Raw genomic sequence first — 21,239 nt, 5'->3', positions numbered from 1 at the left:
ATAGTTTTTAAACTAATTCCAAGCTTAATAAATCAATTGAGAGAACACACCCACAAAGGATACAATTAACCCCGTGTTTTTACCTCTTTATGTGCACTCTGAGCTTACTTTATTCTTTTACATCAATGTGTATATGATCTCTCAGAGTGCTAAGGCACTCAAAGAACCCAGCAAAACACCCAGTGTAGATTTTCAATAAATGTTCATTTATTTCATTCCTCCTGAGTCCCATTAGTTTAGAGACAACAGACACATAATTCTTTTTAAAATATTTTCCAACAGAATTCCAATTGTGTTCAGGGTGACAACGTGCCCGGCCAAAACTACATTTCCCAGCCTTGTCTCCAGCTACGGGTGGCAATGTGACACAGTTTTGGTTAATGACATGTAAGCGGAAGTCACTGAACTGAGCTTCCAGGAAGCTCTTTGAAAGAGAACAGGCACAGCTGGTACGTGCCTTTTGCCATCTGCCCTTCTCCTCCTTCCTGCCTGGAAAGCAGATGCAATGCTGACTGGAGAGCAGCCATCGTGAGGCTTCAAAGGGACAAGATCACTAAGGATGGCTGAATGGAAAGGCAGCAGCACCATGGGTCTCTGATAGCATCTCTGAGCCACTGACCAACCCTAGAATGCCCACCTCTGGACTTCTTGGTATAAAAGGAAAATAACCGTTTACTTGTTTAAGACATTGTGAATGAGTCAGGTTTTCTGTTCGTTGCAGCAAAATCTAGAATCTAAACTATATATCAGGGTTCACTCAACATCTTCATATAAATTTTAAAACAACCCTTTCATTTTCATAGCTTGAGATAATCCCTTGAAGAACAGCTATGCTGGTTTGAAAGGCAAGTTCTCTATTCACAGATACACTTTTTTTTTTTTTTTTTTTTTTTTGGAGACCGAGTCTCGCACTGTCGCCCAGGCTGGGGTGCAGTGGCACGATCTTGGCTCACTGCAACCTCTGCCTCCCAGGTTCAAGCGATTCTCCTGCCTCAGCCTCCCAAGTAGTTGGGATTACAGGCGCCCACCACCAGGCCCAGCTAATTTTTTGTATTTTTAGTAGAAACGGGGTTTCACTATGTTAGCCAGGCTGGTCTCAAACTCCTGACCTCATGATCCACTCGCCTCAGCCTCCCAAAGTGCTGGGATTACAGGCATGATTACATGGGACGCCTGGCCTTATTCACAGACATACTTAATTTTAAAAGGAGAAATCAAATCATTAAACACTTCAAGTACAAAATTCAAGAACACCCTTAAGGAGAAGTCAGTAATCAGCAACATATGGTGTCACCTGTGCTAACTTGGTGTTAAATTACCCTTATCAGCACACCACATGGCTTGTTTTAGCTGTGACATAAAATTTAGGCATCTAAGACTTTTCCACGAAAAAAAAAATCACAGCTAAGAAGGAATTCTTAACAATTATACAAGACTGAGTATGTATTTTTGTCATTAATCCATTCCCAAGAATTTGGGCTCACTTGTAGCTTGAAATGAAGAATTAAGAAAATATTACAGAATGTGCCCAGGGAAAGACCCACCACTGTCCAAAATCATGTTCTTCAAAGTATTTCACTAGATAAGGAAGGAAATGCACAAGCTGATGGAACTATTTAACCACTCTACTACTGGAAAGAACAATCTCAAAATGTAGTCCTGTTTTAGTCCTCACTTTAGCTAGCCAGCCTCTCAGAACCGAAGAATGAGCAAAAGCCCCGCAAGAGGAGCAGATTGAGCCCTCGACAGAGGTCCTCTCCAGGATGGCAGTCATTTCAGCTTGGGAAAGAAGGGGAGATGGGGGGCATATGCTGTAAGCTCCAGGAGACTGGAGCTTTGTCATCTTTGCAGCTTCTTTTTTTTTATTTTTTAGAGACAGGGTCTCATTATGTCACCCAGGCTGGAGTGCAGTGGCTATGCACAGGCATGATGATCACACACTACAGCCTCAAACTCCTGGGCTTAAGTGATCCTCCCACCTCAGCCTTCCGGGTAGCTGGGACTACAGGCATGCACCACCGCACATGGCTGCAGCTTCTTCATGATCAGCCACCACGGCCTCCACCAAGAATAATTTTCTTTTCAAAAACACCTAACCCTCCCCCACCAAAGTGTCTTTCACATGGCATCAGATATTTTTAAATTGAATTTTTCAACTATGAATAAACTCCCTTACTCACATTGAACACTGTCCTGATTTGCCTCTGTAATAAGAAGAAATATACCACATGCTACTGATCACAATCTCTGCACCCTCTACCTGTAAGGGGGAGGAAGGTGGAGAAAGAATAGAGTAGAAAACAGAGAAGAAAGTCAACAAAGAAGGACAATGCACAGAACATAATGTATATGGTCAACCATAAACTTTCCACATTAACAAAGAACTATACAACTGCCAAAGCCAGACATAAATCCCCTATTCCCAACTAGTCCAAAGCATTGGTTAGTTATTATTTTAATACTTCCTTTTACAAATGGACTATATCACTTCTCAGAGTTTAATACACTTTTTGGCATATGTATCTACAAGCATAGACAGAGCTTAACAAACTTTTTGAAATGTGTACCTATAAAACAGTAAAAAAAATTTAATTGTAAAAAGACTTCTAAGTGTTAATTTGAAACACAATTTGAAAGTGTTCAAAGTTCTAATTTATGTCAGCCAAGTTAAGAAAAGTTGGTAACAAGATATCAGTAAGAATTCCAAAGCAGTATCTGTCATAGGTAATCAATCACCAAATACTTAGGAACTGTCTAAAATGGATTTCATACATAAATACCTAAATTTGGTAATCCAGTTCCCTCCTAAACAGGGAGGCAGGGCTGCTTTATAGAGAAGCTACACAGTGGAGCAGGCCATAGACTAGAAATCAGTATGTGTCTTAATTCTCCTAGCTTCACAAGTGAATTCACCATCTAATGATGATCATTCCATGTAAAGCTCTGTAATTCTCAGTTTCCTTGCCTGTAAAAGGTAATAATGATATCAATATGAATTAGGATGCTCTCAACTAGAATAAGGAAAATGTATTGTCTGGTAAGAAGAAGTCAAGCAGTAGGGCAGCTCCAGGGTTGGTTCATTTGACGGCTGGCTCTTTCCATATTTCTTTTCTGCCATATTCAGCCAGTCAACTTATTTTCAGGCTACCTTTCCTTATGTGCGCATGATTGTAGCTCCAAGTAGTCACATTCAGTCATGACAACAGGCAGCAGAAAAACAGGGATCATTCCTGTGTATTTCTTCCCAGAAGGGAGTGAACTTTCCTTTCCCAGAGGTATCTCCTTCCTTATGACCAGCAGACTTCCCTGCTCCTATCACTGGCCAGAACTGGGTCTCATGCCTAATCCTAAACCAAACCCCTGGCAAAGGGAATGAATTTACCATAACAGACTTGGAGTCATCAGGATTCAGTCCTGAGTCGTATGAGGTAGGGGTAAATACCTAAACAAAATTGAGGTTCGACCAGCAAGAAAGAATGAAGCAGACAACTGAACAGATAACCAACAGTGTTGTGAACCCCTTACTTCACAGTACCATAGTGACAATCAAATGATAAAGCAAGAAAAAACTGCAAAGTATAAAATGCTTTATAGATCCAATATATTATTATTCATTTAAGATTTGTTGTATGCTGAGGCAAAATCTCAACGATAAAATAAATTCATTGAAAACAAAGGATATTCTTTTTTTAAAAAAATCACAAAATAGCAAACTATAATGACCACCATTTCTAACACAGTAAAATGTGAGGTTTTGAAAAACTGTGACTATACATATTCTTCAAGTATATGCAGATTGACCAAGTGAAGCAACAGCAATAGGTTTTACAGTCAATACATACTTCCATTTTACATTCAACAAATATTTTCTGAGCACCTACTATGTACCAGGCAGTATGTAAGCACTGGGGATACATCAGTGAACAGAGCAAAATCCCTGCCTTGTTGGTGCTTACACTGTACACTTAACTGCATAAATACTTTTGGAGACAAGCATTCTTAATTACTAGCATAAGCTGGACTCCAATTAGCAGAACACATGTAATTTTTAATTAATTCCAATAACTTTGGTTTTTGTTTACTTCTCTTACTTCCCCATACCACCCAAAAATAAAATCATGAATCTAGGGGAAATAAATTGACAGGTGATCACCAACAGAGCAAAGGATGAGTTACTCAAATTCCTCTGTTTCTCCCCCCAATTCCAGATGAATGCCAAAGAGGAAGGCCACCTTTCAGCTATCATTTCTGAAAATGACACTTGCAAAGGGCAGAACTAAAATAGCGGCAATATCTATAGTATAAAAACAACCAAATACACACAAAATACAGACAACCAGAGAATCAATCATAAGAGCAGACTACAGTGGATGTTTTTCATGACTGTTGTCCATTAATAGATAGTAGATTTGGCATTATACTTTTATCTGGGAGTCTTACAAGTAAATGTTACATTCATATCAATCCTTACTAAACAAGATAACATTACTGGATGCAAAGAGGGTTTGGTTGTCTTACTCTTCAAATGAAGTTAAATGATACCTTAGAGTAATACAACTTAAAAATGGGAATGAAATTTATGTGCTTAATCTAATATTCATCACCTGGGTACTAGTCAAAAGAATTTTCTCCAGTAATTTCATACAAAAAAATTCATACAACAAATTCATACAATAAAGGAAATTTCATACTATAAATATGTAATACTCATTACTATTCCTTTAAACTTTCCATTTTAATTATTTTCATGCTTCCCAAATCCCTGAAACTTTATATTCATAAAAATCATCAACGAAAAGGGATAGATGGTGGGCTTTTAGCCCCCCAAAAAAAAAAAAAACAGTCAAATAAGTTTGGGAGCAAAATCAGCAAAGATGATAACTCTGAGTCCAACTCAAAAGGCATTCCCAGCTCTAAGCCACTTCAGATGAGGGATGAGACTCTCCATCTATGCACACCCCTCTCCACACATTCACCACCCCAACCCCAGAACCTAGCCAAGTCTTTCATAGAGAAGGAGCTCATTCTTGCCTTTTTCAGCGCTACCCTCTGGACTTGGGTATAAATCAGGAAAAAGAAAGACAAGAATCATACATGTTGAGGTTTCAGTTCCATCTTTGACCAATCAGCATTGATCAGAAAGAACTCCTCCAGGGAGTTTACAAAGCAGAATAGACTTAAGAACTAGACCTTCAAGGCTGCTCTAAATCAGATCTCCTAGGAACTTCCCTTAGAATCAATTTAGCTTTTAAAGATAAAGATGGGGTTGCTTAATGCACCATATAATAGATGCATATATTTGACATCTCAGTACATTAAGGCAATCTCTCACACTGAATTTTCAAGGTAACAAGCAGATAGCTTTTCAAACACTATTTTTTTTCTTTTAATCACTTTTATGGTCTCCTTTCTAAAATATTCTCCTGTGTTCTTAAACATATGTTAACCTGGTTTTTTGGGGAGGGCGGGGGGGCGGGGGTTGGGGTTTTTATTGTTTTTTTGTTTGTTTTGTTTTGTTTTTTGATGCCTTAAATACAGGAGGCATCCTGTCCCAGGAGCTACAGTCTTGCAGAGAGGGTTGCTTATACCAACACTAAATGTCCCAAATTCTCACTTTATTTTTAGTTCTTGTATCTACTTTCTATACTTTTTCCAAGGTCAACTATCAATGCTTGATTGTATTATTATGAATACCCTAATCAGCCCTTTTCACAAATCTAATCTTTTGAGGACTAAAAAGACACATGACCAAGTTTGTTAGAGTTCTATTCAAAATAACAGCAGGAAATAAAAGGCAGAACCATGCTTCCCTCCTGGGAGTTGTGATCAGTAGAGGGTATACAAGGTGCTAACAATATTCAATTTCTTGACGTGAATGGTGATTATATGAGTGTTCACTTTTCAATAGTGCATTGAAGCATACATTTATGTCATATGTGCTTTTCTGTATATTTCACAATTTTTTTAAGTTAAAAATAACATATAGGCAAAGAGTTGAATAGGAAGATACACTTCCCCCTACTCTCACTTCAGCACATGCACACACATACCCACACACACACAACAACATTCAAGTAGCAATTCCACTGCTTGCAATTACATCTGTAGATGACAGCCAATGATATTTGTAGAAGAGAGTTCATTTAAGCATTGTTGATAACAGAAAAAGGCGAAAAGAAAAAATGCCCTGGAAATAACCTAAATGCCCCCTAATAGAGAAATGGTAAAATACATTGTGGTACTGAATGAGGTAGATCAATTTATTCTGATTGAAAATATGTTCAAAAATATATTTAATTAAATAAGCAAGTTGAAGAACAAAATATGCATATCTGATATAATCTTACTTGTCCAAAAATGAGAAAATAAAATGTGATTGTTTCTTTTTCTTTTTCTTTTTTTAAGACAGTCTCGCTCTGTCACCCAGGCTGGAATGCAGTGGTGCGAGCTCGTCTCACTGCAACCTCCATGTCCCAGGTGCAAGCGATTGTCCTGCCTCAGCCACCCAAGTAGCTGGATTACAGGCATGCGCCACCACACCCAGCTAATTTTTGTATTTTTAGTAGAGACAGGGTTTCACCATATTGGTCAGGCTGGTCTCAAATTCCTGATCTCAGGTGATCTGCCTGCCTTGGCCTCCCAAAGTGTTGGGATTACAGGCGTGAGCCACCACACCCAGCCAAACGTGACTATTTCTGAAGAAATGAATGCATATGAAAATGTTAAGAGTGGTAACCTATAGGATGCAGGAATAGTTCATGAGGAAAAATAGGGGATTTTACTTTCTACCATTTGATTCTATTTGAATTCCTGGCCAATAACCATGTATTTCTTTTAAAGTAATAAAAATTAAATAAACAAATATATTAATTTCCATTTGCTGCTGTAACAAACTATTACAAATTTGTGGCTTAAAACAACACAAATATATTATCTTACAGTTCTGAAGGTCAGAAGTCCAAAGTGAGTGTTAAGGGGCTAAAATCAAGGTGTCAACAGGGCTGGTTCCTCTGGAGGCACTTAGGGAGAATCTGTTCCTCACCTTTTCCAGCTTCTAAAGACTTCCAGCATTCCTTAGCTTGTGGCCACATCACTCCAATCTACACGTTGCCTTGTCCTCTCTGATTCTAATCCTTCTGCCTCCCTCTTACAAAGACCTTTGTGGTTATACTGGGCACATCCTGATAGTCCAGGAAGATCTCCCCATTCAAGATCCTTAACTTAATCATATCTACAAAATCTCTTTTACATGTAACATAATCACAGGATCTGGGGACTAGGACATAGACATGTTGGGGGGCCTCATCATTCAGCCTATCACAACAGTATTTGCTGAACTGTTGTGCAGCTAAGTTCTGAGACATGGCATATGGGAGCAGGGGAGTACTTTCACTCTGATACTTCTATATTATTTTTATTTTTTACATTGAATTTTTGTTGTTTTAATTAGAAACCCAACAGACTATATTTTTATCAACTCTAAGATGCCATTGATGATAAGATACATTATTTTATGTATGACTCAGAAAGAAAAAAAAAACACTCAACTTTGATATTTCTTGTAATATCATGGTGGATTGTTTGCAAAAATGTTCTCAGAAATCTCTCCCATCCCAAGATATACACTCCTTGGCAACATGACTGGAGTCCTCCTCTTATCAAGAGGCAGTCTATTTCTACAACAGGACATTAGCAAACACGATCTGAAGAGGCTGGAGAAGTGCTGGTGCACTGAAAGTGGCCTCTTGCTGCTGCCTTTCTACCATGTGAACACATCCAAGCAAGTCTACTAAAGGAAGGAGACTATGGCCATGCCAGCTACCCCAGCCTCCCCTAGACAACTCACTGGACTTTGCACAAATTATGATTGTTGTTTTAAGTCACTAACCCTGATTTCAGAGATACTTAAAGGTGAAAAACTGTAGATTTTTGAATCAATGAAATATGCTATGTTATGGTATCAGTATATAAGTATCTAAAGGGTGTTTCTAAGAGGAGAAAAGCATACAAATTTTAGGGAACAGAGTTTTTATGCCACATTTTGGCTGCTAGAGGTTATTTTTGTTTATTTTCTGGTTTTCAGTTACATTTCATATAGCTTAAGTCACTGAACAAGTGACGGCTGGTACTGAAGGGATACTGCTTTCTGCCACAGAATATTACAGCAAGATAAATTATCTTGTCCATTCAATGAGAAAGAAACTAGCAACCTCTAGAATTACATGGTGAAAAATTATTATTTTGTTATTTAGATAGGCAGTATGAATCATAAATTAAGAGTGACAACACTGGAAAATGTCTTTCCATTTTACTATATAAAATAAATATTTATATTATAAAGCAGAAAATACAGTGACATACTGTGCATTCCAGGACTTATTACATTTGCAATTTTTTAACTAATACAATTCTAAATACAATAATATTTACTTATTACAATATTGCATGTATAGGCATGTTGTGACATTGCTGTTCATATTCCATTGATATGAACAAAATATATTTGTTAATAAAAGGTCAAATGCCAGTTTCATTGTGAAAGGTAAATTTTCCACACTGTTGCTTTTAAAATCCAAGTTCTGGATTATTATAATAGCTCCCATTTACAATATTTGTTTCCCAAATACCTAGTTATAAAAGCATCTAACCTGGATATATCACTTTAGATAAAAAAAGCAATAGAAATAACAGCATAGGTAATTTCTTCTCCAAATATACAAAGAGTTAGATAAATTCTTGGATTAATCTAATGCACAGTTACTGAGGTGCTTACAACATGCCTGATGCTGTACTTGAGACCAGGTACACAAAATCCTCAACAAAAATCAAATCGAAATTTTTGAATTAGAGATACCAACTGAATTAAAGCATTTCTGTAATATCTAAAAATCCTATCATGTGCTAGGAGCTTTACATATAACTTGTCCTTTAATCCTCACAACACCATGACACATTTCTAAAATGACTTAATTTCTCTGAGAGAAGTCCCACAGCTAGTCAGTGGAGGAGCTGGGATATAGTCCAAGTAGATGTTACTGGCTTTCTTCACCATCCAACACTGCCTTTTGCCATCTCTGCATTGTGCTTTTTTATTTAAAGTGAGTAGAGACTAACTGCGATTGATGTTAGAATGAAAGAGAAGGAAAATCTCATACAGTGACAATGAAAGACGAATTGTCCTGGAAGCAACTCATCATAATAAAATGCTGGCAAAGTCCTCTTCCCATTTCCTATAAGGCATGTGACCATTCGTCCCCAAGGAGAACATTTACAATGGCTCTTGAATCTTAATATGCTCTCTCAGATGCACCAAATACCCTTTGCATTCTCCTTCATCACGCAGTGTGGATATATCATCAATGAATTCAAAATTCTAAACTTTACTTAAACTTATTTCTCTACAAAGCTCTGGGTAATAAGTTTCACGGGTAATAATTATGTAATGTGAAACTTTCCATTTCTACCAAAATTATTTCTTTCACATTCTAAATTTCTGACAGGGTATTTTCATAATATATATTTGGTGAAAATTCTTCATATTTATACAACCCATGTCTACCATGATACTCTATTGAACTTTCACCTTTCAAGGATGGATTCTAATAACAAACACTAACATCTATTGAGTATTTACCACTTATCAGGCCCCTTACTACAACTTCATATGAATTATATCCCTTAATCCTCACAAACTTTGAGATAAATTCTATTTCTATCCTCATTTTGTACCTAAGAAAACAATGGTCCAGGTAATGGGGTGTTGCGTGCTAACTGCTGCATATCTAGTTACAGCTAGAAAGTGGTGACACTGAACCCAGGTCTGACTCCATTGCCCGCTCCTGATCCAATGTGCTGTCCATATGTGGACAATGATCAACTTAGAGATCCAGAATCCACTCATCTTTTGAAACACAGTGAGCACCCATCTCTTTCCAAGGCCTTCCCTGATGGCCATTCCTCAGTGCCAGCTTCCGCGGCATTCTCTTTGATTGCTGTCTCACCCTCCTCTCTTTTCATTCTACCTATTTTCCTGCAATATTGCATCCATCCCCAAGGCTTCAATAATCCCCACTTATCATCTAGGAAACTGAGCCTTAAGTACCTTGTCTGAGAGCATACAGCTAAGTAAAGGTAAAGCAGGAACCATCTGACCCAATCCTTGCTCTTAATCCCTGAACTATGCTACCTCTCAGTAACTCTGAAATCCTTCTCAATGTGCCCTCCTGACAATCCTTCAGTTCAGGCACCACCATCATTTAGTTTAACCTTTAACTAGACCTCCCACTTTATGTCCCCTGACACTCTATCCACAATGTCCAATGGAACTTCCTGTGATGATGAAAATGTTCTACAATCTGCACTGTTCAGTATGGTAGCCATTAGCCACATGTGGTTTCTGAGCACCTAAAATGCGGCTAGTGCCACTGAAGGATTTTTTATTTAATTTTAATTAATTTAAATTTAAACTCAAATAGCCACATGTAGCAAGTGGCTACCATACGGGACAGCATTGTCCTACATAGTCCTCAAGTCTCTCTGTCCCAAACCTTGACATTCATAATGTCTAGTGACCTTCTGAACTTGGCTTCCAGGAGTTACTCTGTAGGCTCATAATAAACTGCCCTTTCCTTAGGTTTTTGGGGACATTCCTGTTTCTTGACTAAAAAATCAAGACATAGTCTGATTCCCATGAAAATGGCCTCTTCTCTGAGTTTCTGTTTGGCAGAAGCAGAATCATAGATGTTTCTCTCAACTCATTCAGAGGCTAATCTGAAGCAGAGATTTCTGAGGCGGCAAGATGAGGGAGGTCACTGAGATAGAAATGTCTTTTCTAGTTGGAAACCTTGTCGATAAATATTACAAATTGGCATGTATTATTTTCTAAAGAAATTATCCTTTACAGCACAAAAGACTGGCTCCAGCGTGCATTAATACTATGCTTGGTCCTGTAGAGTTTAAAAAAAATGTTTTTGCATTAACTTTAAACATGTAAATATTTCACACAAAAATTGATTTCTAGCACTTCTGGAAAAATCCAGTGATCTGGAGACACTGGGTCCGCATTCCTACATGGCAAACATCAGCTAATGCCAAGAAGCTGCTGCCCTCTTTCACTAGGCAAACACTCCAGTTGCCACAATCCCCACTGCTCCCTCTTGTATAATATTTCTGATACCCAGGTAAAGCATGCCACTTTACTCATTTATGTTACCTGCCTTGTGCCTAAGGCCATATGAGTCAGCAACCCCTAATAATAAAGCTTTACAAAGATTTTTTTCATATCCATTATTTTGCTTAATTCTTACCAAAATCCTATGAAGAAGGAAGCATTATTCTTCCCATTTGTAAACTAGGAAAGTGGCCCTCAGAAAAATTAAGTATACACTGGAAAAGCATGGTTTTAACTCAGGTCTTACAACTCCTTCTTCCATGCTGCTTTTGCTACAAGACAATGCTTGACAACAGCCCAAGAAAAAGTCTATGATTTAAATTGCGGGCAAATTTCTTACATTAGAATGTAAAGAAAACATCCTTCAATATTTTGCTGAAAATGTCACAGAGAAAGTATGGCCAGGTTGATGTATACAGAACATGAGAAGTCATGAGTATCCCCAAAGAGGTGCCTCTCACCCTTTTACAGCACCCCAAGGAACTAACCAGGGCTTCTAACAGCTGGAAGCACACAACCCTGAGGCTCCTGCTGCTCCAGGCCCTACCAGGCATTACTACCTCACAATGCCCCACAAGGGAACCCAATGCCCCACAAGGGAACTTCTACTACAGATGTTCTGGAAGAAAAACGTTAGTAGGAAACATGCAGTGGTTGGGCTCTTACGAATTCCTCCAGCAGTTCAATATGTGGTGTCTAAACAAGAAGAGCAAAGGAATGATTCCTGGTGGTTCTTAAAGGCAGTCAAAAATTGGCAATCTTTCTGGCATTTCCATTTGCCGTATTAATTGATGAACTTTATGGTGGTCCATGGTCAAAGCACTTTGTATCAGTCATAAAAGTCCCAGGCCTATATGCTTGAACTCAAGAAACCACAAGTCCCCAGGTATAAGGATTTAGATCACAGCATTCAGTCCAATCTGGAAACATGTTCCAAGCAGCAAAGGCAATCCTGCAATACAAGCGAAGGGGCAGAGCTGGGAGTAGGGGGAAGAGTTACAAACACTTTTACAGGATACAAAATGCAAATGGAACCCATTTGGAGAAAAAGCTACTCCTAAGCTTAAAGCATGAACACTGGTCAGATGAGTACAAAGGATTTCCCCTAACCAAAGGCCTCATGGGAGGTCATACTAGTCATTTATCTCTCCAATATCCAAATGTGTTCAATTATCAATGTGCTCAGCTAAAAAACTACAATTGCTCAAAAACAACTAATGAACAAATGCCCTCATCCTTCCTTGCAGCTAGGTAGTCTTGTGACATATTTATAAGCAGATGTGAAGCTGAAGGTCAAAGAGTCATCTTCAACCATGGGGCAACCACAAGGATGAAAGCCACATATTAGGGATAATGGAGAAGAAAAAGATTAAGAGCACCTATTTCCACATGTTTTGTTATGTGAGAAAAATAAACTAGTACAGTTGCTATTCCATCAATGTGCAAACATCATAGAGTGTATCTATACAAACCCATATGGTACATAGCCTACTACATATCTAGGCTATAGAGTATGGCCTATTGCTTTTAGGCTACAAACCTGTACAACATGTTACTGTACTGAATGCTATAGGCAACTGTAACACAATGGAAAGTATTTATGTATCTGAATGGATTTAAACACGGAAAAAGTTGCACTACAATGTTAAGATGGCTACAATGTCACTAGGCAATAGGAATTTTTCAGCTCCATTATAATCTATGGGACCACTGTCATTCATGCAGTCTGTTGTTGATAGAAATGTTGCTATGCAACACATTAATTACAGTTGGTTAGGCCACACTGATAAAAGCCCCACCCAGTTCTTAAGTACTTCCTCAAAGACCCTGTTCCAACAATAAATGCATAGCTTTTCCTAATATAACTCAAAGTCATATCTACAATTGTGTAATGCCAATACTCACAGCAAGTAAAGAAGGGAGTTGCAAGGGTTTAAAAGGAATGTCTTAGGGGTATCTGCCCTCTTCTATTTAATTTGTATTGTCATTTGTTGATTGGCTAGCTGACTTGCTAGCTTTTCCTCTGAAAAACAAGTTCAGCCTGTTGTGATTTCCATGGAGGCTCCACACTCATGCCTCTGCATCTTCTTCCAGAGCGCCTCATGGAGAGGTGGCATTGTATCGTGAGGTGGAGTAGAAGGGGCGTGGAGTCCGATGAATCAGGGTGCCCTTCCCCACTCTGCCTCTTCCTAGCTGCATCAGTTTCTACATCTTTAAAATGACAGTAAACTAGTTGGGAGGCCAAGGCGGGTGGATCACCTGAGGTCAGGTATTGGAGACCAGCCTGGCCTACGTGGTAAAACCCCCGTCTGTACTAAAAATACAAAAATTAGCCGGGCATGGTGGCAGGTGCCTGTAATCCTAGCAACTCGGGAGGCTGAGGCAGGACAATCGCTTGAACCCCGGAGGCAGAGGTTGCAGTGAGCCAAGATTGCGCCATTGCACTCCAGCCTGGGCGACAAAAGCAAAACTATGTCTAAAAAAAAAAAAAAGTAAACTACTAACTTCATACAATCATTTTTAGAATTAAATAAGAAAAGGCACATAAACAGATTAACCCAGTGTCTGGCCGATGGTACATATTCAGAAAGAGTAACCTAGTATTAATTACTATTAATATACTTGAGGCTTTTCCACTTCCTCCCTGAGATAGGATATATGCTGTGCCCATATATGCTTGGCAGTCTAGTTTCATGTTATTTTTTGGATTTCAGTTGATTAAATATATCACAAAATGCAATTTAATAATTTCATCCATCAGAAGAAAAAATATTTTGTTGAGCCATGTGTTTTTACTTGGAGTTTAGAAAATATGGTTATCATATGGGGTCTACTCACCAGTGCTAAAATTTGTCCCATAACAATGGCTTTTGCTCAGAACATTCATATTGAAATACCTACCCATTCTTCATCTTATATTCACTACAGGAAAAGAGTCCACATGTCAAATCAGCAAATAAAGCAATGAGAAAATGGCCATCTGAACATGTCACCTGCTATATGAGCAGACTTCACGGAAAATAGCAATGAAGGTCAGGAGAAACACAAGAGTCTGTGAGTGTTCATTATTCCGCTACTACTAAAGCAATGACCAACGAAAAGGGCATGGGCTCATCTCATGCCCATAGGGTCCAGTAGTGGGCACCTACTGGATTGCTTATCTTTCTTCTCTTTCTGAGACATGCCCCTCCTCCCTTCCCTCCTCTCCCCATCCACAGACTGCAGTGGGGATTGCCATATCCCTGCAACATGACTCTACTTCTGGCCATAATTCCAGAGTGAACAGCTGACCCTAGCCAGACCACTAGGTTCCTTCCCAAGGAATTCCGCAATTCTGGGAGTCTGAGATCAATCTCTCCCTGCTTATCTAGACTGTAATGTAAAATTCAGGAGCAGCCGGCAGCCATGTTATGCCATGTGGACTAAGAAAGAAACAGAGGAAGCCAGTGTGAGCAAGAAAGAATGAGGCAGATACACAGAAACCGATGAGCAGTAGGGAGAAGAGACTTCCTGGTTGTCCATGTGCTCCAGTCTTCAGTTCTATTCCCAAGACCCAAATGCATCCCTTGGATTCTGCAAGATACTTGAGTCTCCTACCAGGAAATGCCAGAGCTGGTTTCTGTATCAAAGAAACCTAAGGGACTCCATCATTATATATCATTAGGACACAACTGATTTTCAAAGTAACTCTCTCCCTCAGTGTGACCTAATACACAACACAAACCTATATTGTTTCAATTTTACTTACTGTGTTCTCAGCCCTGATCTAGAGGTCTTGAGAGATACAATGATAAGGACCACAGGGCAGAAGAGAAATAATTTCAATGTGAGGCAGTGCTTTAATAAATACATGAAGAGTGTGCTAAGGGAATGCAGCTATCTGGAGATGAGGGAGGGAGAAGTAGGGGAGAAGGAGGAAGGAAGAAGGTTTTTGTGTCACAGTGGCCACATGCAAGCACTGCAAGCCCCAGAGCAGTTTTGGTTTTTTGGTTTTTTTGTTTTGTTTTTTTTTTTGTTTGTTTGTTTGTTTTGTAGTTCAATGGCATCTTTAACTTTCACCCACATGACAAAAGTTGAATAGTACTTCATAAAATTATGCAACTTGGAAAACCTTGTTTCAATTGTCACTTTATTGCAAGATGGCAGAATTAATTACAAATTTAAACTATAACTTATAATCTTTAGTAAGGCAGCAAGTTTTAACAAAAGTAAGCTCCTTATTCAAAAGTGATCCTGGAACAACTCAAAGTCCAGAGTAAGAAGGGTGAGAAACATCTGACTGGCCAATGGACTTAGTTCTCTCACTACATGAAACTCAAACTTTTCATTTTTAGGAAACATATACAGTAACTTCAGCAGACAGCAATACAAAAACATGTTGTTACATAGATTAGTTTCCATTTAGTCAGTCAACTGTTTCCAGCTGTCTCAACTGGGATAGATACATTAATAGAGCTGGCTGTGCTTGAGCCTTCTTTGTGAGCAGCTTTACTGTGCCATGCGCTTCACAAATGTCTCCTTTTCTTGCTGTGCAGAGATTCTCTGCACCTTGTGCTTCTCCCATAATAGTCTGCACAGAGATATGATAGTCCAGGCAATTCTTTATAGCCTTCTATACTTTATGCAGCTATTCTCAGTAAGTAGCCTCCAAGGCCAAAGCAATGTTATCCCTCTGGGTGTCAAAAAAGTAAATGGCACTTCTAAGGCCGGGAGCAGTGGCTCATGCCTATAATCCCAGCATTTTGGGAGGCAGAGGTGGGCAGATCATGAGGTCAAGAGATCAAGACCATCCTGGCCAACGTGGTGAAACCCCACCTCTACTAAAAATACAAAAATTAGCTGGGCATGGTAGCGCATGCCTGCAGTGCTAGCTACTCAGGAGGCTGAGGCAGGAGAATCGCTTGAACCTGGAAGGCGGAGGTTGCAGTGAGACGAGATTATACCACTGTACTCTAGCCTGGTGACAGAGCGAGACTCTGTCTCAAAAAAAAAAAAAAAAAAAAAAGTAAATGGCACTTGTGGACCAGTGCCTGCTGTGACTTCTCCAAATCAATCTCGTGCTGAATTTGTCTGGGGAAAGCCTGCTTCACCTCTTCTAATTGGACAATTTTTTGTTCATTGAGTTCATCAGCAAATTCTCCAATAGAGGAGAATATTTTTATTTACATAGACAAGTAACCCTACCATTGATATAGTAGCAAAATTCTCCGGCATAACCATATATATTTCTTTGGATAGAGAATACAAGATAAACCCATTTCCGAGTACACATAGTCCTATTACAGTGATTTTAGGATAAAGAAATGAGGAATTCCTTAGGGATCAGGCCAAGAACTTTTCTCCATATTCAGGAAGAGAAGGTAGAGGGGTAAGACTTGGCTGCCCTGTGTGAAAGATCCTTGTTGCATGCCCCCTGCACCTAGGAGGGCTGTGTTTTTCAGAGAGGGGTCCACTGTGGCGTAAGCAGAAAAGTAACAAGGCAGCAATCTTAGCATCCCTGTGACCCTGACCTCCCAAAGCAGTTTTATTTATTTGTATTTTTATCTTTTTTTGAGACAGAGTCTCGCTCTGTTGTCCAGGCTTGAGTGCAGTGGCGCAATCTCGGCTCACTGCAACCTCCACCTCCTGGGTTCAAGCAACTCTCCTGCCCCAGCCCCCGAGTAGCTGGGATTACAGGTGCCCGCCACTACACCCAGCTAATTTTTGTATTTTTAGTAGAGACAGGGTTTCACCATGTTGGCCGGGCTGGTCTCGAACTCCTGAACTCAGGTGATCTGCCCACCTCAGCCTCCCAAAGTGCTGGGATTACAGGCGTGAGCCACCACACCTGCCCCTGCCAAAGCAGTTTTATAAGGGAAAAGTTTAACACAGCTGAAGCAGAAATGCCCACTGAGATCCATATCAGGGCATATATATTAGACCTTGTGGAAATCCTATCAGTTTTCCTTTCACAAAATCTTAAAACCCATGAGTGGGAGGGAGACTTCACTCATCATAGCCTTCTGAATTTTGCATATACATGTACCATCAACTAAAAACCACCAAGGTTGATTATTTTGTAAATGTAAATGCTAGTATCTATTTCTACCTGCTGTTTTTCATTCAAATATTCAGAATTTCTTCAAGGGAAACAAACTACCAAATAAGTAACATTTTTAAAACCTTACTTCTTTTGTACTATGATTATTTTATTTCAAATTGTTGCAATCTCCTAGCTAAACTCCATTTCAAGTAACTAAATGTTTCTGCCATTTTGATCCCATTCTCTCTGCAAATCCATCCAGGATTTTTTGCCATCATTAACCTCACTTTTCCACATACATAAGCATGAACTACTAGGCAACAAAAGCAACAGACAGATAAACTTTTTAAGCAAAAGTTTTGAAAAAGCAGAAATAAGCAATGTCGGGTCCTGAAAATAGTGACTATAGCAGCATCCCTCAAAGGACAAACTTACTTGTGCAATGTGAAAACAGTTCATTGCTTCAAAAGTTTTCAAGTTCAAGTTCAGTCCTTCAGGCTTAAGAATGTAGTTTCCCAGTAATTATATAATGGTAAGGACATCAATGAAGTTCTTATGACCAAAATATAAGAACTTCAATTATAGCCAAAGACCCTTAGAAAAGTGCCTATGAGCACTGGAAATCTCAACACAGTAATCTCAAGAACTCAACCGTTTGTTCACTTATCAATAAAGCAACAACTTGGTATATAGTATACAGTTCTTCTGGGTTCAATTCTGACAATGATCTATACTTCCACTAATTCAATAATGAGAAATTATTAAAGAGTAAAGTAGAACATTTTTAAAAAGAAAACAAAAAATTAAAGTGAGGTGGGAGGAGGACCACACACTGGAGAAATATAATCTACCTGTAGACAAGCCCACACATGCCCCCAGAGCCTCAAGAGAACTTTTCTGGACCGCTTCTTCTCCGTATACTACACTGAACTGTGAAATTAAATTGTTCAAACTTAAAATAATTCCAACTTAAAGCTATTGGAATTTTAACTTATTCTGAGCCTTGAGAGGAATATGGCTACACAGCCCAAGTCACGTGGTGTACAGCTGCAACTTCTGCCTTTTTTCCTGTAAATAATTAAAAGGCCAAGCAGCACCAGAGATAAGACCCCCTCAGATCCTTGTCCCTTCTCATGGAGTAAGGAATCTTCCCTGGAATGTAGCAATCTGTAACCAATCAAATCGTTGTGGTGTATGTTCTGGTCTTATATGAACAATGCAATCTTGCTGGAACTTCTCTGTCTCTACCCATGTAAGTGAAACCTTAACTTCACTTTGGAACACTGAGCCCATTCACTTGGAGTCAGTGTTTCCAGGTGATCATCCTCAAGCTTTGCACTCAAACTGTATTTAAATCATATTTTCTGAATCTCATTATTTAAGGTTGACAGAACCTTTTAGGATTCGGTGAACTTTACTTTCTCAAACTTTGCCCTATCCTATCCACATCGAACTCAAAGATTTATATTTTGCATATCTGATGTGACAGAAATTTCCCAAATGGAAGCTCAATAAGAAAAATAAGTCAGAAAAGTCACACTGCAACCAAACTCCAAACCAATTTAATCCATTCAAACAGCATGCCAATTCAGCTAACTATGCATGCAGATTAACCTCCTTAATTTAATTTTATTTTCTAGATAAAAATTACTCATCTTTCAAAACTGTTTAACAATCTAAGCTCTGACATGTAAAGAGAATTAATTATTCAAATATAAATTCAAAAATATCCCCCAAATCGAAATATAATGAAATGAATTAGCCATTCCAACACTCCTTCTCCCCCAACGAACACTAAAACAGGTTACTGAGATTCTAACAGCAAGGCATGTAAACTGACTCCAGGAATATTAATCCAGATGCACAAAATAAAAAGCAACAATGTAATCTAAGCTTTTCTAAAACTAGAATTTAAATGTATTTAAATATGAAGTGGCAGAGCAAAGAGTCAAATCCAGGCTTCTCTGACTCCAGTCCCTGGCCCCCAAAAAAATGCCTCCAGAGAGGGAATCAGGAAGGGTAAATGCCGTCCTTAATTTACCAATACCCACCTTTATTTATATATTTACTGGGTACATCAGCATCTGTTATAAAAGGTGTCTTGATTTTTTACCTATATGCTTCCTCCCTTGGCCCACATCTAAGTTTTTAGAAACATGAGCTTTCTGGCTATCTTTTGATTTCTTTTTTCTTTTTCTTCTTCTAAATATCAAAGCTCTAACTACTTAGTCCAAAAAAGGGGAAGCATTTCAGATTTTAGAGGAAGGCTTTCTGGGTCTCGTGTGCTGCTTTCCCACCAGCAGGCAGCCATGGCAGCATATCTTCACCTCTCATGGCCAGCTCAGAGGACCTTAGCCCCAACAGGCAGAGCAGGAGCAAGGGGTCTGCAGGCGATAATTTCATGGCTTGGCACAGCTCCGTCTTCCCATGTGTCAAGAGAAGCTGGCAATCTGGGTGTTTATGTGAAGTCCATATGTTTAAACCTTGCCGACAAATTCAAAACTTCTAAAAACACTGTGTGTGGACCACTCAAAATCTGTCCAACGGTGGACTTCAGTCTGCTAGTTGCCAGTTTATAATGCCTAAGCTTCCGGTTAAGAACAATTTAGTTAAACTTTTATCCTTCCCTAAGTGTATTCCTTATGGAAGCCATGGAAGACACAGCCCCTGCTGTCCAGGAGACCAGTGGGGACAAGGGACATACCATTTCAGGGCAAGATAGCAAATGAAGAGAGAGATAGAAGCCTGCAAAGGAGAACACAGCACCCACCCACTACACACCTCTCCTTACCACTGGCTGTCACAGGGCAAATTTGGAAAGTGGTGGTATAAAGATGACAGAGTTAACCTCGCCCTTCTATAATAGAGAAGAAAAAAGGGGCTCAGAACTCTACAAAAACAAAAAAAAGTTCAACAGACCAAACTCTGTACATCCAAAGTGAGTCTTAAAATAGTCTTAATGGAACCATGGCAACAGAAAAAGCTTACCTGCTTAGAGGTGTGCTGGTGTTATAAACAAAAAATAAAACAAACTTTCACTGAGCACCAACTATGCTCCAAGTGCTGCAGGTGCTGCAGGTGCTGCAGGAAGATCATCTCATGTAAACCTCCCAACAACACTAGGACGAGTCATTACTCCCAATTTGCAGACACGGAAACTGAGACTGTAAAATCCTAAGGCTTTGGAAAGAGCCAATATCTGATTCCTTTCCCATTAGCCAGATGACCTGGACAGAGAGATTAGGGCTATCATTGCAGACACATAGTGGCAAGCAATCAAGAAAAACTCATTAGCTACAATAATTAAAAGTGTAGAACTGGTGCTAAAAGAGGCAAAGAGATTCCCTAAGACACAACAGAGGCCACAGCAGGCCCTGCTGATTATGAGAACTGAAATTTGTGATAAAAGTCGTTTCACAAATAAATACAAAAGAAAATATAAGGACCACTCAATAAGTAATGTAGAAATAATTAACAGCAAGTTTTAGGAAAATCCATTTATACTTCCCAAATTATGCCACCTAATGAAATACACTTCAAACCAATCAAAAAGTTATTTTTTCATCAAATTATATAACTAAGATGAAAGAAAAATGAGTATCAGTGGCTCCCTAGGAAAAGCGTTACTTTCAAAAATTAGGAGTGATGGAAGAAATTTCAATTATTAAAAAAAGGTGTGTGGTGGCACACACCTGTAGTCCCAGTTATTCAGTAACCTGAGGCAGGAGGTTCACTTGAGCCCAGAAGTTCTGGGCTATAGTGTGCTATGCTAATTAGGTGTCCACACTAAGTTAGACACCAATATAGTGACCTCATGTGAGCTGGGGACCACCAGGTTGCCTAAGAAGGGGTAAACTGGCCCAAGTCGGAAACAGAGCATGTCAAAACTCCCTTGCTGATCAGTAGTGGGAATGTGCCTCTGAATGGCCACTGCACTGCAGCCAGAACAACGTGGTGAGACCCTGTCTCTCATTTTAAAATTTTTAAAATAAATTTTGACAGCTAAACTTAAAAGTAAATGTTTTCTATACAAAAAATGAAAAGGCA

The 21,239-nt window shown here is 39.1% G+C and overlaps 1 protein-coding gene and 2 pseudogenes across 6 annotated transcripts in view, besides 2 other annotated features; 1 reads left to right on the top strand and 2 right to left on the bottom strand.

Annotated features, from left to right (window-relative positions):
• The window catches only part of WDFY2 (WD repeat and FYVE domain containing 2), a 183,248-nt gene that overhangs the window by 152,629 nt on the left and 9,380 nt on the right, over positions 1-21,239 (bottom strand). The window lies entirely within an intron of this gene.
• Positions 516-605: an enhancer, noted in NCBI's record as "active region_7777". NCBI's record gives its function as "activates an Ori minimal core promoter by ATAC-STARR-seq in GM12878 lymphoblastoid cells {active_cell/tissue: GM12878}" and the evidence as "EXISTENCE:reporter gene assay evidence [ECO:0000049][PMID:35858748]".
• Positions 636-695: an enhancer, noted in NCBI's record as "active region_7776". NCBI's record gives its function as "activates an Ori minimal core promoter by ATAC-STARR-seq in GM12878 lymphoblastoid cells {active_cell/tissue: GM12878}" and the evidence as "EXISTENCE:reporter gene assay evidence [ECO:0000049][PMID:35858748]".
• Positions 15,621-16,641, bottom strand: ATP5PBP1 (ATP synthase peripheral stalk-membrane subunit b pseudogene 1; annotated as a pseudogene).
• On the top strand, positions 20,866-21,162 carry RN7SL413P (RNA, 7SL, cytoplasmic 413, pseudogene; annotated as a pseudogene).

Source organism: Homo sapiens, chromosome 13 (assembly GCF_000001405.40).
Source record: "Homo sapiens chromosome 13, GRCh38.p14 Primary Assembly".
Classification (NCBI taxonomy): domain Eukaryota; kingdom Metazoa; phylum Chordata; class Mammalia; order Primates; family Hominidae; genus Homo; species Homo sapiens.
This window is presented reverse-complemented; position numbering and strand designations above follow the sequence as displayed.